The following is an 18,316-nucleotide window of genomic DNA, read 5'->3' on the forward strand; positions in this document are numbered from 1 at the left end:
AAATAGCCATATTGTCCAAATAGGAATCAATTCAAAATGAGGCATGAACTTGAACAACTGGTAGAATTGAAGCAGAGAGGATCCACTTGAGTTTGATGTGTTCTTCAAGTAGCAGAGTTTGAATGAGAGGTTTAAATTCCTCCTCTAGATCAAACCATGTTACTTGTTTTAAAATGAAAAATACATACATAATTATAATATTGTTAAATTGTATCAGTTAATCATCTCACAAATGTGCCAATTACCAAAGCATATATAAAATGTAAGTACAATTATAGAACTTTATTTACACAAAGACAAGATATACACATATATGTGTTAAATATTATCAGTGTAAAAGTAATGGAATAGCTTACAAAAATTGAGAGGTAGAGGGGGATTAGTGGTGAGGGAAAAGTTGGAGAGCTGACCCCTTATCTTACATTGAAGGCAGTTAGTGCATCCTGGCTAAAGTTTAAGTAACAAGAAATAGAGGTTCAGGTATATTCCATTTAAAGGTATAAATCCAACCCATAGAATTACTTAGAAATGAAAACATAACTGCTTGGAATTTGAGAATGGGGCAGAAAGAGAAAAGTTTACATAAATAAAATAAATTCCTCATTTTCAAATTAGAAAGTTAGAAAACATTACATAAGTTGATGAAATAAAAATGAGACATAAGCATATTATTTAGAGATAAAAAGGAAAATATCAGAAAAACTTTTTTTTAAAAAAGCGGGAAGTGATTATTCCCTAGATAATGGCTTTAAAGGGATAAAGCAAAAATTGTTTGAATTAGTTACCATGTGCATTTGTTAATTTTATAATAGTTATTATTATGATTAAAAAGCTGTAAAATAAAAGAAGATATTATACCTCTCTCTTGAGCCAAAGAAACCAACAAACAGCTGCTTAAGTAGAAACTGTTCTGTTACCTTCACTGGGCTTGAAAAATATGGACTGACTCTACACCTTTCAAACACCATATATTTAGATACATTATTTTGATCTCTTTCAGGTAAATTGGAGACAATTTGCAATTCATTTTTATTAATATTTCTTCTTCAAGGGACCATCTGACACACTGCAAACACTCAAAGTTACAGTAAAGATTGTGTCTTCTACTTTCTCTGCTTAGATGAATACTGAACACTTCATTGGGTGCTACCAATGGCTGGCTTGCTGAATGCATGGTTTTCAACAATATCAATCTTCCTATTATCTGACACCAATTCTTCCATAGTGAGCTTTGAGATGTGGGCATTACATGATACTTAATACCAATAACCCACAACACAAAATTAATGTTTTATTATCTGCTGTTTTCCAAAATACTACTGTTTTAAAATCCCTTTCACTTATGTTAGGTAATGTTAAAAATGCAGCTAAGTATCATTTGTCTCTATGGTTGTCAAGAGTGTATATATCAGAATGCAGGTATACTCCACTGTGGCTATTGACCAGGGTATACAAAAAAATCATCTGTGTAACCTAAAAAAATACAGATGCCAGGGCTTATCTAAGTAATGCTGAAATAAAAGTTTTAGGGAAGAGCATAAGCATGTCTACTTTTAAAAAGCATAAAATACTAACGTGAACCCTCCATTTGATTTTGTTAAATCAAAAATATCAGATGAGTACACATACATCAATGACCAGGTTTTATTATTCAAAAGGAGAGAAAAAATTCAATTCAAAAAGTAGAAAAGTTTTTGGATTTTGTTTGGTTTGAAGACAATGAATGTAAAATACACAACTTTAAAGTTAACTATTTTAAAATTGGAAAGGATAAACATAAATTCCATTCAATAGACCAGGCACAGTGGCTCGTGCCTGTAATTCCAACATTTTCGGAGGCCAAGGCGGGTGAATCACTTGAGGGCAGGAGTTCAAGAACAGCATGGGCAACACAGTGACACCCTGTCTCTAGGAAAAGTACAAAAATTAGCCAGGCATGGAGCTGTGCACCTGTAGTCTCAGCTGCTTGAGAGTAGCTAAGGTGGGAGGATCACCTGAGCCTGGGGAGGTTGAGTCTGCAGTGAGCCATGATCACACCACTGCGGTCCAGCTTGGATGACAGACAGAGACCCTGTCTCAAAAAAAAAAAAAAAATCTATCAATTCAATAGAAACAACACATATTTTGAACTCCGAGTCTCTATTATGTTCAATTAAAGAAAGAAGAGTTGGAATGAGGGGAAAAACTGAATGAAAAAAATGGAAGTTGAAGGAGAGAAGGAAGATGATAAACCAAAAAGGGTAAAAAAAAGTTTTTCAATGTTTTAATATTTACTTTTTAATTCTCAACATTTTAAGCATCATTCATGTCACTTATATCACTTCATTCCAATTATAGCCTGGCAAAATCTTTTTTTTTTTTTTTTTTTGGTAACTCTTATTCTCTCCAAGTTCTTTTGAGGCATGCAGTGCTCCTCCTCAGAGTTTTGCTCATACTCACTCATCCCTCATCCTCCAAACCTGTCAGCTCTAAAGCATCCTCAGTCAATCTGTTGTCAAGCAATAAGCAAGAAGAAGGAAGAACTCTTGATGCTGTAAAATAATCAAGAGTTACATTAGGTCTTTCCTAGCATTTATTTTAAAACGCTGATCTTCCAACTTTCAGGAATGTGTAACAACATTCAAAAAGAAAGGACAAAGATACTAAAAGAAATAGATTTATTTTATCAGCCTAATAACTAAAAATTTGTATTACTTTATGAAACACTACTTAGAAAACACTTTTTTAAAAAAAATTTCATTTTATTTGAGTTTCTATAGTTTCTTCTTAATTTGGAGCTTTTGTAAAATCTTTAATATACAGCTCGATTTCCATTTGATCCAATGTAAAATGAATAAAATCCTTCAGCAACAGTTACAATATATATCATGAAGTGTACTTCTATTCCATACAGAACAATTCACACTGGTTTCAGTGGCTCACAGGTCAATAATCATCTTGGCCTTTCCCATTACAATTTGTGCTCCACATTTTAGAGCTGTTGACCCTGTGGAGATGACATAACCTCTCTGAGCCTAAGATTCCTAGTTTGAAAAATTGAGTTAATAATCATGCTCCGAAGAGTGGTTTAGATTGTGATGGTTAACTGTATATAAAGTGCTTAACAGGAAGAGTTTTGCACATAATGAACACGTATTCATGGAGCTCATAAGATTATTAACTTGTCTCATCCTTCTATTTTAATTCCTTGCTTTGGATAATTTTATCATGCTTCCATAATTAAAATATATTAATTATATTAAATGAGGATATTTCCATTTATGGGAATGTATTGGCCTTTTAAACATGAAACATTTCATATGAGCATGTAATATTAAACAGAGATTTAGTTTAGAGTAGTGAGTCTAGGACAAGTTCAGGAGCTAGAAAGCCTGGGTTTTGAATACTGGATTCACTACTTACTAGCTAAATGATCTTGGACATCCCAGTTAAGCAACTTTTCTGATTCTAAAAATGTTGAGGCATTTAGGACATTATTTATTTTGTAAAATGTAATTTTAAACAATACAAGAGTATCCCTAGAATGACTGTTGATTGCTCAAAGGATTGGGTCACTGCAGAATTTCCTTTCTTAAGAAAATTCCCATCATTTCACCTTTGTTGTTTTGAACTTTATATGAAGACTTGCAAAATATTTTTTAATTAGACAAAGTCATGTGGCTCAAGAACTATCATTAAGACTTTTTTCTTTTTTATTCATTGAATATTGCTGAACAGGGTCAAAAGCAAATAAATTCCAACACTTGGTTTATCTTCTGAGAAACATTTAAATATCATTAATGTAATCTCTGAACAGAATACAAGAATGATCCCTTCCTTCAAGCAAAGAAATATTACAGTCTCTCCAGAGTTTTAGAGACTCTGTGTGCCTGGTATGGCTCTGAACATACTATTTGGAAAACGGTATTCTTGAAGTCAAATATTGGAAGCAGACATCAGGAAAATTATTTGGGGGACTTCCTTTCATCCCCAAGGTACTATGAAAACCCTTCACATAGGGAAAATCTATAGGATGAGGTGGGAAGTGGGTTTCCCTAAGTGTTCACAGTAAAAATTGTAAATCCTCTAAAAAATCACTGAAGTAAACACCAACACTAATTTTTACCTAATAACTAAAAGGAAAAAATGTGAGTTGTGCCCATTATATTAGACTGGAAAAGGTCTCAGTGGCCTCTATTACCTTCTTGGCCACATAACAGGTACTAAATACTCCAAACTGCAGTTCCCAAATGATTTATTAGTGTCAGGGCACCAATTCTATTGTGGCTCAGTTAGAGTATGTGCATATTATGTCCATATAATTTTGTAATATGTTGTGCTTTTGTAATAATTAATGTTTATCTTATATATGAAAGCTATATTTATTTAAGAGAATAAGTTATTCTCTTAAAAATATCTCCCAGATAATTCCTTTAAACAGTATGTTTCCTTTGATAACTTTTGACATCTCTTGTAGAAAGCAAGTAGTGTTTACTTGTTTGTTTCTTTAATCTTGATTAGAGGGACTATGATATGACATTTTCTTATTTCAAGGAGCAGGAAAATAGCTACACGCTCACAACTCTATATTTTCTTATTTCAAGGAGCAGGAAAATAGCTACATGCTCACAACTCTATAATAATTTCAGGCTGTTTTGCATTCCATCACTGAGCCTCTTACCTGTAAATAACTTAATCTTATTTCGATAAAATTACAACAATTAGCCAGGTGTGGTGTGGGCGCCTGCAATCTCAGCTACTCAGGAGGCTGAGGCAGGAGAATTACTTGAACCCAGCAGGCAGAGGTTGCAGTGAGCCGAGATCGCGCCACTGCACTCCAGCCTGAACCAGAGAGCGGGACTCCATCTCAAATAAATAAATAAATTTATTTATTTAAAATTGGTCCAATTAATCATTTGGAAGATCTGCCAAAATCTGAATGAGATTGAGTCAGTATAAATATTTAAGACAGTGGACAAATGTAAAGATAAATAAAAAATACATTTTTATTGATGCTAACTGTTGTAAAATGAAATACTGCTTTGAAAATGTCACTTCTCTAGAAACACATAGTGATTTTTTCCTGCAGGTAAAATCTTGACTGAAGTACCATTAATTTTTAAAGCATTCTCAAGGCACCATAGAATCAGAACATGAGAACCTAAAAAGTTTATTTAAATCATAGTTAACATCAACAACGATAACTCATTGACAATGTGTACCATTGATACTATGTGATGAGAATGGCCTTTTACATATGTGATCTTCCTTCCCAAAACTTATAGCCTTAATCTAACCATGAGAAAAATATCAGACAAATACCAATTCAGGAACATTCTACAAAATACCTAACCTATACTCACTCAAAGTATCAACATCATCAAAAACAAGGAAAGCCTGAGAAATTGCGACAGCCTAGAGATGCTTAAGGTGATATGATGGTATGATGGTTAAATGTAATGTGGTAGCCTGGGTGAGATCTTGAAAGAGAAAAAGGAAATTAGTGAAAAACTAAGGAACTCTGAATAGGGTAAGGGCATTTGTTAATAATAATGATGTATCACATGGTTTTGTTAATTGTGACAAATGCGCCATACTAATATAAACTGTTAATAACAGGGGAAACTGGATGTGGGGTATATTGAAACTGTCCTTACTATCTGCACCATTTTTCCATAAATCTATTCCAAGACAAAAGTTTAAGCAAAAGGAAATCACAGATGTAGAATTATTCTAATATTAAATAAAGGTAATAATAGCTCAGTGAATTTGAATTTATCAGGTAAATGCATTGCCATTATCTATATTATCTATAATATACCTAAGTGATAATAGACATAAATTTGAACCACTTTTAATTAAAATGAATTACAATTAATACATTAAAAATACATATTTTACACAGTACAAAATAGCATTGCTTTGATCAATAGGAGATCCATTAGAAATGCTGATCAGTTTTCTTAAAGTAATCATGCCTGGGAGGATAATTTTCTATAAATGCACTCTCCTGGGTCAGGAATGAGCTTATGACTTATAAACATAGAACTAAACTGGAGTCACAATGTCTGAGTCCTAATTATACTTGAGAGTCATTATGTCTTATTATAATAGGCTAAAAAAATACACTTATGAGGGAATCTGTGTGTATTTTCTTTTAGAATAAGTACAATTTAACTCCCTCAACCATGGTAAGCATACTAAATATCTTTTAAGTTGTTAAATTGAAGCTTTATTACATATCCATCTTAATGATGCCGTTAAGGTACAAAAGGCTGACTTTTGATTTCTGTGTTACTTTAGGAACTGTGAGGTAACATAGAGATAAAAGAAATGTATTTGACTCTGAGATTCTCATTTTACTGAGCTCTGAACACCTGATAACATCATCAGAGCAAGACAAAAATACAGCTCCACTCTGGCTGACAAGGATACGCTTAACCCTGGTTTATAACTACAAAAGCCCCTTTTGTCAATAATATTTTAAATTACTCTCCTATGTTCGATAACATCACCTTCATAACTTATCTACTCATAACATAAGACTTCCCATGATAAAAGAGAAATATGTCATCAGGAGAGATGAGAGAGGCAATGTTTCCTTCCAGTATGAACTCTTATAGGCCTTCTCCCATGAAAACAGAAAAATTTCCAGATGGATCTGAAAACTCTGTTCTATGTCTTGGCACCAAGAAAATATTGGAGTCCTTCCTACACCTGGCCTCCGATTGAATAAGTGAAATATCAAGATAATAAAAATTCTATATGTCAATAACAAGATAAAGCTGAAACATTCAAAGACAATAAGAAGTACAATTTAGTCATTGAATAGCTCTACAGTTTAGATAAGAAAGTCAAAGGTGCGAAACGATTGAATCTGGAGAATACAGGGGAAAAATAATACTTAAACCAAGTCTATATCCATTCCTATGTGCTCCTTGAATTATAAGGGTATCTCAGTATTTCTCATTTTACTAATCTAAATACCTGATAACATCTTTGGAGGAAGGAAATAGACAGCTCTACCCTAGCTGTCAGGGTTACACTTATAAATTTGATTCAATCCTTGGCAGGATGTCTACAGCATTTATGTTCCAAGCCAGGATTTTGTGTCAAGAATAAATGCTACACAACACAGAAAATACCAAGACAGCAGGAATGACCTTGGACTGTTCTAGGCAAGCTTAGATATATGATGATCTTACCATTGAGAGATCCTTGGAGAAATAGCCAAATAGGACCCAAGGTCCTGGCACCACCTCATAATACTTTTCTTTTTTTATGAGAGCATATTAGACTAACCATCCTACTGACTATTCTTTATCAAAGTAAGCCATAGTTATTGTGAACTTTTCTGAAAGATTTTGTGGCTGCACAACAGTGCTGTAGTAAGCAGATGTCATATATTAATCACTAGTGTTTGGAAATCCTGCACTTTGCTTAAATAACATCCTAGGGAGTCTTGGAGCTTGAGAACATTCAGATAACTAAAGGTTCTTGACTTCAGGCTGAAGACTGGGACCACTATGGGTTATCTTCAAATATTGTTTAGCATTGCAATTAAAATTCAATGAAAGGTCTGTGAAACCCCTTGACAAAACTTTTCATTTTCTGTCTTGAGAATTTCTGTCTTATTTTGATAAAAATAAACACAATATTTAATATTGCGTTTATACCACAGAAGGAGGCAGCTGTAATATGGGCAGAAAGTATGAGTTTAAATTTTTGAAAGGTATAAATTTTCTTATAAACACAAGGTCTCACTCACTCTGTTGCCCAGGTTGCAGTGCAATACTGTGATCACGGCTCACTGGAGCATCATCCTCGTGCACTCAAGCGACCTCCCACCTTCCCAAGTAGCTGGGACCACAGGTGCGTGCCACCATGCTGGGCTAATTTTTTAAAGCATTTTTTGTAGAGACAAGGTCTCACCATGTTGCCCAGGCTCGTCTTGAACTCCTGGGCTCAAGTGATCTGCCCTCCTTGGCCTCCCAAAGTGCTGGGGTTACAGGCATCAACCACTGAGCCTGGCACAATTTTTTAAATTGCCAACATTCTACTTATCTTGTTTTATCTTACTCTTCCCCTAGTCTAGATTCAGTAAAAACAATGGTTGTAATTTATTATATTTAGGGATTTCAATGATGACCATATTATTTGTTACCTGAAATTTTAAAAATTAACCAAATCTATACACTTAAGTAGAGTAAAAACACTGGAATTGAGCCAGCCATTATGAATCTATACAATCCTCTTTCCTCACTACAACACCTCAATTTGCTTTTAACTTTATAATCTTTTTATAATCTTATTAGAAATAAACAGTCAAATATAATATAATCTTATCAATTGACTGCCCATCTTCACTATGAATTTGTCCAGGCCATTTCACTAAAAGACTAGCATGAGCCAGGATAACTCTCCCCAGACCTCTAGCCCTGATAACTCTTAGATGTCCTTCACATCTCATTGATACTAAGGAGCTTTCTCTAACAAGGTGCTAGGTACACTCATCTGTGTCACAATTTAACTATTGTCCATGAATACACAGCTTCATTTAACTAATTAGTAGAATTTTATGTACCTGGGAACTTTTAAGAGTATGAAATCCTACAAGCAGTGTATCTTTAGCCTGTAACATTGCTTGGAACAAAGCAGACCTGTCATTTGGTTTTGTAGCCTTTGTAGTCCCTGACACTCTGGAACATTAGAGAGAGTGAAAATATTATTCTAGAGTGAAGGAATTCTGTGTTTTCATCCCAGTATTGGTTACATGGTTTGTTTCGTTTGTGAAGAATTCATCAAACTATATTTTTAGGATATATGCATTTTTTTTTTAACTTTTATTTTAAGTTCAGGAGTACAAGTCCAGGTTTGTTACATAGGTAAACTTGTGTCATGGGGGTTTGTTTTACAGCTTATTTCATCACCCAGGTATTAGACCTAGTACTCATTGGTTATTTTTCCTGATCTTCTGCCTCCTCCCACCCTCTACTGTATTTGAAAGGTTCCAGTGTGTGTTTTTCCCCTCTATGTGTCTCACTTATAAGCGAGAACATGATATATGCATTTTTATTTAAGTATGTTATACTTAATGAAAAGTTAAAAAGATGAACGTAAAATGTTTTTAAAAACTTCTTTTTCTGAAAACTCAAGTTGAGAGAATTAATCATTGTACTAAAATATACACTAAAGGAAGTACTTTAGGCAGAAGGAAAAGATCTTAGACAAAAAGAATGGAAACACAGCAAGAAATGAAGAATATTAGAATAGGCGCCTGTTTACATGTAAGGAAAAATGGACTCTACAAAGGTGAAAAATGACTACACAAAGCAATAAGGTTTATGTTTTATGGTTTTCAAAACTATATAGGTTAAAATGCATTAAGTCCAATTTTTATTTTCTTGAATCCCTTACCATTATTTGTATATGAAAACTGATTTTCTTTAATCTTATTTTGACTTTCAATTATTTTAGTCTACAACATTTGAGTGATTTAATTGGTAAAGTAATTGCTCTCAGGTTTACATAAAATTTTTTCTCTGTTGTGTAGAAAACACCATCCATGAATTCCCTTAATGTACAATATAGTATAAAAATTATTTTTTTACAAAAGTAGCCTTATTTTGAAAGACCTTTTAATAACTGAAAATTAGAAAGCGATCTTAAGTGACCAGCCATCAATTAAATTGATTATCTGCATCATTATTATTTGCATTAATTTTTTAAAATGCCATCATAATAACTTGCTAGCACAATTAACAGAATGTAGTTTGGAAATTTTTCTTTATTAAACTACAAAAGATTAAAGTAAAAAAATGCCTAAATATTATCGGTTCCTTACTTTTCAAATTACCAAAACAAAATGAAGGTAGTCTTGATTTTAAGGTTTACCCCCGCAGCAAGTTATGAAAATAATGGTCACATGTGTGAAATATTATACTGATATTCCTTTAATAGGTTCATTTCATTTTACTTACTCTTCAACAGATATTTTAAAATACACTTTATTGTGTATATTTAAGGTATACAACATGATGCTATTGGATACATGTAGATAGTAAAAAAAAGGTTACCATAGTAAAGGAAATTAACATATCTACCATCTCTAGTTGTTACCCATTTTTGTTGTTTGTTATTGTTGGGGGGGGGTTGTTGTTGTTGTTTGGAGGTAAGAGCAACAAATATTTTTAAGGTGCCAGGTGCCTGGGACACAATACTAACTAGGTGGCCTTGATCCTTGTCCTCTAGGGCTTACAGTCTGTTGGGGAAAACCAGCAGGTAAACAATTACAACACACCTACTATATGAGAGCAATGAGAACACACAGAAAAGGCACCTAACTTGGACTTAGGAAGAAAGATTTTGGTCAGGGAAGGAAGATGAGTAGAAATTTGCTGGTCTGTACTATGACAGGTATCTCCTACAATTCCTCCCTCTTGTGTTAACAGTTTGCTATGATCCAGGAGCTGTCTCCTTCATTTTTGGCTTTGTCATCAAGTCTGATTGTCCTTACTTACTCTCAACTTTTCCAAACAAGAAAAAAAATCATCTTTGGCTTTGTCCTTCGATGGAATTTGAAATATATAGCTTCATAAACTCTCTAGATTTTCTATTCCTGTACTTGTCTAGTCTTCAAACTATTCTAATTAAAAATTTTAAAGGATGCACAAAGCTTATTTTCCTTCTAAAGGTTAAATCATAACTTACTTGTATTGTGGATAATATCAACCAAAGTTCCTGCATTCTACAGATTTTTTTAACCTCAAGTTCCAGGTTAAATTCCCAGTTTGTGGCCAATTGTTATCATTGGCCATGCAAAGCCTCCTTTTATTAATATTTTTTCTCCATTGCCCCCATATCCCATTCTCTGCCACTCTACCTGTTTTTCATTCCCATGCTTAGCAACCATTATAATGTGTTTATGAACATCTTTCTGTTTTCTTGAAAATTGAATATTGTACACATGAATCTCTAATTTACATACATTTTCTCATTGTTTGTTTTTATTTACTAAGCACTATGATTTAAAGTACTTAGCATTCATGTTGTTGTAAATACATCTAATCTGCACTTCTAACTACTGCATAATATTCCAGTGTATATTACCAGACATTTTACCTATTTGCTCTCTTAGTGATAACACCTGGCAATCCAGCAGTCCCCAACCTTCTTGGAACCAAGGACTGGTTTCATGGAAGACAATTTTTTCAGGGCAGCAGGGAAGGAGGTAGGTTTTGGGACGAAACTATTCCACTTCAGATGATCAGGCATTAGTTAGAGTCTCATAAGGAGTGTGCAACTTAGATCCCTCGTATGTGCAGTTCACAATAAAGCTTGCACTTCTCTGAGAGTCTAATGCCAAGGCTGATCTAACAGGAGGAAGAACTCAGGTGGTAATGTTCACTGGGCTGCTGCTCACCTCCTGCTGTGCAGCCTGGTTCCTAACAGGCCATGGACCAGTATCTGTCACTGGCCCAGGGGATGGAAACCCCTGATCTAACCCACTGTGGCCTATAAACAGATCCAGGTTTTATGGATCTGTGGCTTATACAACTGGGGGAGGAGGTTGAGAAAAAATGCAAAAATACAAGGGCAAATTAGGCACAAAAGACAGATTAATATAAAAGTGAATGTTTATTAAAAGTGAGAACAAAAATTAAATAAGTTGTCTCTGTATTAAAAATAATTAACCAATACCATAAATTCCAAAATTTTATTAATTTACTCCTTAACACATTTCTTTAGGACTTCCCTTCATTTTTGGCTTCATTCTCTTTGATCTTCCCTTTACTTTGTATCAATTTTGTAATGGAGAAGATAGAAAAATTTAGTCTTTCTTTTACCACAACTGAGTATAGTGTGTGTATGTTCATTACTGATAGTTGAGCAAATTTCTCTGAGTTTTACAACTTGTTTTTGGTAATGGCATGAAAATTTTCAGTATTACTGTCAAATTTGGGAACACCTCCATCAAGTTTCTTTCACATATGAGTTGTAAGATATCAGAGCCTGTACAGTGTCCTTATTCAGAAGCTAATCTTATATACTCTAAATCGACAACACCCAACCACTCTGTTATCAATATCCTCAATGTAGTGATGTATGAAGAGTTTGTTATCTCAACATGTTTGGCCATTTTATGGCAAATGAGCAAGACATCCTAATATTTTTCCTCAACATATTCATATGATTCACTCTTCTTTATAAACTGGATTATTACACAATCCAAGAATTTATTTAATAGTGCTATAAGAGATGAGTGTCTTCTTCTTTGAGAAATAATACTTTTTACTTTTGCTTCTGGTATGACAAAACTTTGTTATAGTTCATTGCTCAATGTTAATATAATTTCTGTTTATTTTATTGCTCATCCTTGTAACTTTTGTTTCATATTCCACTAACTTTCCATCACTACTTTAATATAAAAAGTCAAAAATGACAAAGAATGTCATATGATATGACCTAATTATATGTCTACTTTTTTTTCTATCCAATATCCAATCTTCCTTCTTATCTAGAATGAACAGGTATTTCCCATTGTGTGTAGTGGTGATGGAATTCAGAGCCTTGACACCTGCCGTGGAAAGCTAAAGTGACTAAAGTGACTATATTTCCATTCCACTCCTGTTATTTTAAGTGGTGAGGCCATCATCTCCTAAGCTTATTCAAATGGATTCTGTTGCCCTTTACTTTGAACTTGGTGAATGAAGCCAAATAAAGGAAGATTTTATTGAAATTCCCTTGTGCTGGGTCTATGTACAGCTATAGTAGAATCCTGTGTGGCAGCAGTGACCAGTAGTCTAGCCAGCTGGGTCTGCCAAACAGCCTCTAGATTTCCCTTTTGTCAGCTCATTTTCCTATACAGCTGCTCTAGTTTCCCAAAGCCTTCCAATGAATGCATGAGTACCCAACAACTTCCAATAAATCTCCATTTGGCTTGGGACAGCCAGTGTTTGTTTCTCTTGCTTGTAATCAATATCTTTGCTTAATATGAGAAATTACTTTTGGCTCACTTTGTGGGAACTAGGTTATGACCAAAACAAGCTCCTTTTGGCTATGACAGTTTTGCTAAGTGATTAAAGCATTTCTTCTGAATCACTTGAAAATTAATCACTTGACCTCAGAAGTAGTGATTTAAAAGAAACATAATGCAGTCTGTAAATGCAGAATCCATTTCAATATTGTTCCTATCATATTACTTCTTATACTATAAAATAGATATGATGATTTTGCTCATTATCTTTATTAATAATATTTCTGCAATATCCACAGTCCAAAACTTTTATTTTGGACTAAGTCCGTCCTTAAAATTCACTTTAAATATACACACTGCTTTTATATCTTCTACACTATTATTCTTAGTTTTTAAAAATGAAATCACAGATGTAAATATAACAAAACCAAGCCATTATTTAATCTTGCAGGACCATAAGCCTTCCATAAGCAACCTGATGATGCTAACTTACTACAATAAAACAAACTTTCAATACTCTAAAATATTTTAAAATTAAATTTTCTTTTAAAATTATATTTTATTATATTTCAAAAATATTTTTGTCCTCAAGAAAATATGGCAAATCCAAGAATATATTTATTTTAAGAAATATAAATAGTATAATAAAGTTATTAAATAATAATTGTAAGAATGCTATAATATTTTATCTTGGTCTAAACCAGTGGTCCTCAACAGGATAATTCTTCCCTACCTCCAGGTGGAGTTACCAGAGTTAGCAAAAAGAATACACAGTCAGTTAAATTTGAATTATTTATCATTGTGTATACATATTCTGACCATAAATGGAAATGTTTTTACAGAACAGTCTTAATCTTAAAATTTACTAATTGTTTATCTAAAATAAATGATCAGTATGTAAATTAGAGATTTCTTTTCTGAAAATTTCCTCGATGATTGGCTTTCATTAACAGCTCCTTGTTTTGCAGAGTTGACTTATAAAATTCCTTATAGTTAAAGCCTATGTTCCCCCTACAATGTAACATGTCTTCCATAGTGGTCACATCCAAATTTTCTCTTTTCTCCATTCAACATTCATTAATGAGAACATCGTGAAGTCCAGCTTATAAGTCCAGCTTATTGAACATGTTCAGTGTTAGCCTTATAAGCTGGACTTCTGAACATGTATTGACTTAAAGTTAACTCTGGGACTTACTCTTTTGCTAAAGAACACAATACCATATTTCATGACATAACTTGTTTTTTTTTATTTTTCAGGATTAGATTGCATATTTTGATCTACAACTTTTAAAAATATTTTCCACTGACAAAACAGAACATTGTCATGAATTTTTATTCCCTTCTTTGAGTGCATATAATTTCTCCTGTTCCATTAAAGGATCAAATTCTTCAAGGGATAAAATACATTTCAAAATATACTCATGACAAATGTAAAAATAATTATCCACTTCAATACGGACTTTTTCCCTGTCCCTAAGTTGTGTTGTTCCTCTTAAAACAGCCTTGGCATACAAGGGATAAACTTTTCATCCATTTTATCTTTAATACATTCAACAACTCTTTGTAAGCAATGGAGGGCATCAATTAACAATGTTTACTCTTCTTTCAAATTGCATAATCCTATTGCTAAAAGATATGGAATGCTATGAGCAAGAAATAAGTAGTCTTTACTCAATGGGTTATTTTAAAAGTCAGCAAGAATTTGTGAGACCTTTTCTTCAGAATTAAAGTATGATTTCGGTGCTTTAAATAAACTAAGAATTCTCTCAACTGCATCTATTAAAGAGAGCCAGTGAATTTTAAAATGTGAAAGAACTGAAAATAACGAATGCCAACAAAATTACAAAAATTCTTCATTAGTAGAGTCTGAACAGAATAAATGCTGAAATAGAATAATTTCTTGACAATTTCTTTACTGGCAATTACTTTACTGATATCAGATGCTGTTTGAGCAGCGTCATGTAGAATATGGCAGAAGAGGCAACACTGTTCATAGTCCCATTTATACTTTGCTTTAACTTTCAATAAATATCACACCTTTATGCAAATATCCACCAATTTATATTTGTATTACCTCCACAAAATAAGTATAATTTTTATGACTACTAACTCAATCATAGGGTCTCTGCAACAATTTCTTGTTGTTTCTGAAGACTCATCTGGAAGGCGTGTTACAATAGCCTTGTAAGCAAGTCTTTTTATGAGAAAATTATTATACGAGTAAAGGAATTTTTCCCCCAAATTGTGATTACTTGCATTCATGGCTATGCCATAAAAAAGTAAAACATTTGAGCTGTGGTAATCTCTGTAACAGTAAATGGAGTTATTCTAATTTTTATTACGGCAGTAGATTTTGTCCTATAGCACTAGAAAATTTACTTACAATTTTGCATTAAAAAATACTTGTAGCACAATTCAAATTAAGTCATGTGAGCTTAAAACCTTGTATGATATACAAAGTGGAAGACAACTTGTGCTGCAATTATTTTATCTTCTTCATCTGAATTTCTTTCAATAAGATGTGATTTTATTACTTTCTTTGGTACAAGTTGAGGAAATCATACATCTATTTGCTTAGCTGTTAGTATTTGCTGGCTTACATCCAAGTTTTCACCATTTTCAATATTAGCTAAACAATTGTATGCTGCACAAAGAGCTTCAAAAGGAGTTTTTCTTTGTTTAATGCACATCCATTGTTCATAAAATTTATCACAAAACTTACTTGCATTTTGACATTTTTGAGTTTACTTCTACACAAATAAAAAATGGATATTAGTAATTGACCCAGGAATTGAAAAGATTGAATTTGATAATCTCACAGCTTTGTCACTGTCAGTCACTCACAGGTACAAACTCATAACTAAACATAAACAAGAGTTGAGCCAATGAAAGGATTGCAAACTTGTGAACTTACAGTAAATTGAACTAAATATTGGATGCCAAAAATCTAAACGTTCTGTTTGCCAGCAAGAGAGAACTGTATTTGTGAGAGATAAGTTCCTGGAACAAAGCCACAGCTGACATTATATAAGGTTTGGGGAAATGTGCAGAGTGTTTAGAGACTCAAGGACTTCCAGCTGTGTTAGTGTGGACACTGGAGTAAGACTGCCGTTGACCTTCTAAATTTTGGAAACATGGTCACTAGAGTGGGACACTTACTGATTGGCTGTTCTCTAGCACCATAGGGGCAGGCACTGACAGGGTGATGTTCGGGACTGGGAGTTTATCATTAGCAGACTTTCAAAAGCTTGGACTGGCCTTCACTTGCTAACTTTCAGAAGCATAGTTACTGGAGTGAGGCAGTTATTGACTGGTTTATTTTCAGAAACATGGCCACTGGAATGAGAATTTCACAGATTTAGCTGATTTTCAGAGCCTGTGTACTGATTCTGAGTTAATGATAAATAATGATGATTACCTGTTCACAACTTGAAACTTGGGCTTAAAGACCATTCTTTTCCTTTCTTGAATATGAAAAATAAGCACAGTCTGAGCATGTACAGAGTTTTTTTTCTTGTCATTATTTCCTAATGAATGCAGAATAACAACAATTACATTGGATTAGGTATTATAAGTAATCTAGAGATGATTTAAAGTATACGGTAGGATGTGAATAGATTATGTGCAAATGTTACACCATTTTATGTAAAGAACTTGAGCATCTCCAGATTTCAGTATCTCATGAGGTCCTAGAACCAATCCCTCACTGATACTGAGGGACAATTGTAATTGTAATTTTCTGCCTGTGCTTTTGGTGTTCCCTTAGCCAAACCTGCTAGAAAGAGGATAGGGATTGTAAAGATTCTCATTTGTAGAGGTAAACATTTTGGCTAATGTTGGCATTTAAGCGATTTAATCACCAATTACTGTCGCAGAAAAATGGCTCCAACTGTCAAATTTTTGTAATTTATTGAAAAAAGCTAAGATACAGGAAATTTAGGCTGTCTTGACAAAGCCAATAAAGGGTGCAGGACAAAATCATTACATACATTTCCTAGTTTCATATACTGTATAGATATCGGACTCTCCTCCCTCATGGGAACATGGAGGAAGAAGGGTGCTTGCTATGGACACCTGGTGGGTAGAGGACAGAGAGGCTGCTAAAGTTCCTATAGGAATGCCCCCAAAATCGATTAAGCTGAGGTTGAGAAACCTATGCTTAGACCACAATTTCACCTGGAGGCTTTTTCCATTTAACAATGCCAGGGTCCTTAGAACTTACTTGCTCCTTTGGCTCTAATTGCTTTGTTTACACTGTAAACGGCCTGAGAGGCTGGCTGGGTTTTTAGTTCTATATCTTCTGAGAGGTATTCTAGGCTTCCAATATATCCACCAAGGCTAATCACTAACTGTTTTCAGTTGTAATCATTCCAGTGTCATCCAGTGATTAAGCTCTAAGCTTTGGTACTCCTTTTATAGTACACTTAATAAAGGATACCTGTGCTGAGTTGTAGACCCTGGGCATTGACACTAACTCATTGGAAAATATTGACTGATTATTTTCATTATTTTTAAGGGACTATTTCCTTAACAAAGAAAGTGGAGAGAAAGGGGGTCCAGAGGAAGGTAGATGTATGATTTTGAAGAGATTAAGCAGGAAAATGATCAAGTCCATATTTTGTAAAACTCACTTTTCACATAGTCTAGAGGGTAAATTTACAGCAGAAAGATCGGTTACCAAGTGAATAAAACTGATATGATTGGTGGGGGTATGGAAACATATTGAGGTATAGGTATGTGGTTACATTTGAAAGATAATGAAAGGCTGGAAATGGCAGTTGAACTCGGGATTCCAGAAGTGAGATGAGCATCCAAGATTACTTTCAGGTATCTGACTTGGCCTGCCAAGTTAATACTCCAGTGATTTCTTATGAGAGGAAACTAGGAGGATGAGGCTTAAAGAACAGGGAAGAAAAATGATAAATCCAATTTTGGACATCCTGTGTTTGAGATGCCTGGGAGACACAAAGTAGACAGGTCCAATAAGTAGCTAACCATGTTACTCTGGAACTTAAAATGGGAGGCTGGGTTGGAAATAGTAACTTTGGAGACACCAGCATATAAAGAGTATTTTGACATTGCCCAGGAATATTCCTAGTCCCAAGAGGCTAATGGTTTTTAAGAAAGACGTGTACATAAATGATCATAGTACAAAACATGGCAAAACAGCTTGAATGGAAGTATTTTAAAAGTACCTTGGAAACACAAGGGGTTAGAAATTGGTTTGAGCTGGTATAGGAAAGAAGGAAAGTTGAGTTGGAATTCAGCAGATGGATATGGTCGTATGTATATTTCTAAAGGCTGAAAAGTGCAAGCCAGGCTACCTTCTTTTTAATCCAGACTCCAACACTGAAAAGCTAG

General features: G+C 33.9%; 1 protein-coding gene across 7 annotated transcripts in view; it reads right to left on the reverse strand.

Moving 5' to 3' along the window:
- The window catches only part of SCN9A (sodium voltage-gated channel alpha subunit 9), a 180,803-nt gene that overhangs the window by 124,260 nt on the left and 38,227 nt on the right, over positions 1–18,316 (reverse strand). The window lies entirely within an intron of this gene.

The sequence above is a fragment of the Homo sapiens genome, chromosome 2 (assembly GCF_000001405.40).
Source record: "Homo sapiens chromosome 2, GRCh38.p14 Primary Assembly".
Taxonomy (NCBI): Eukaryota; Metazoa; Chordata; class Mammalia; order Primates; family Hominidae; genus Homo; species Homo sapiens.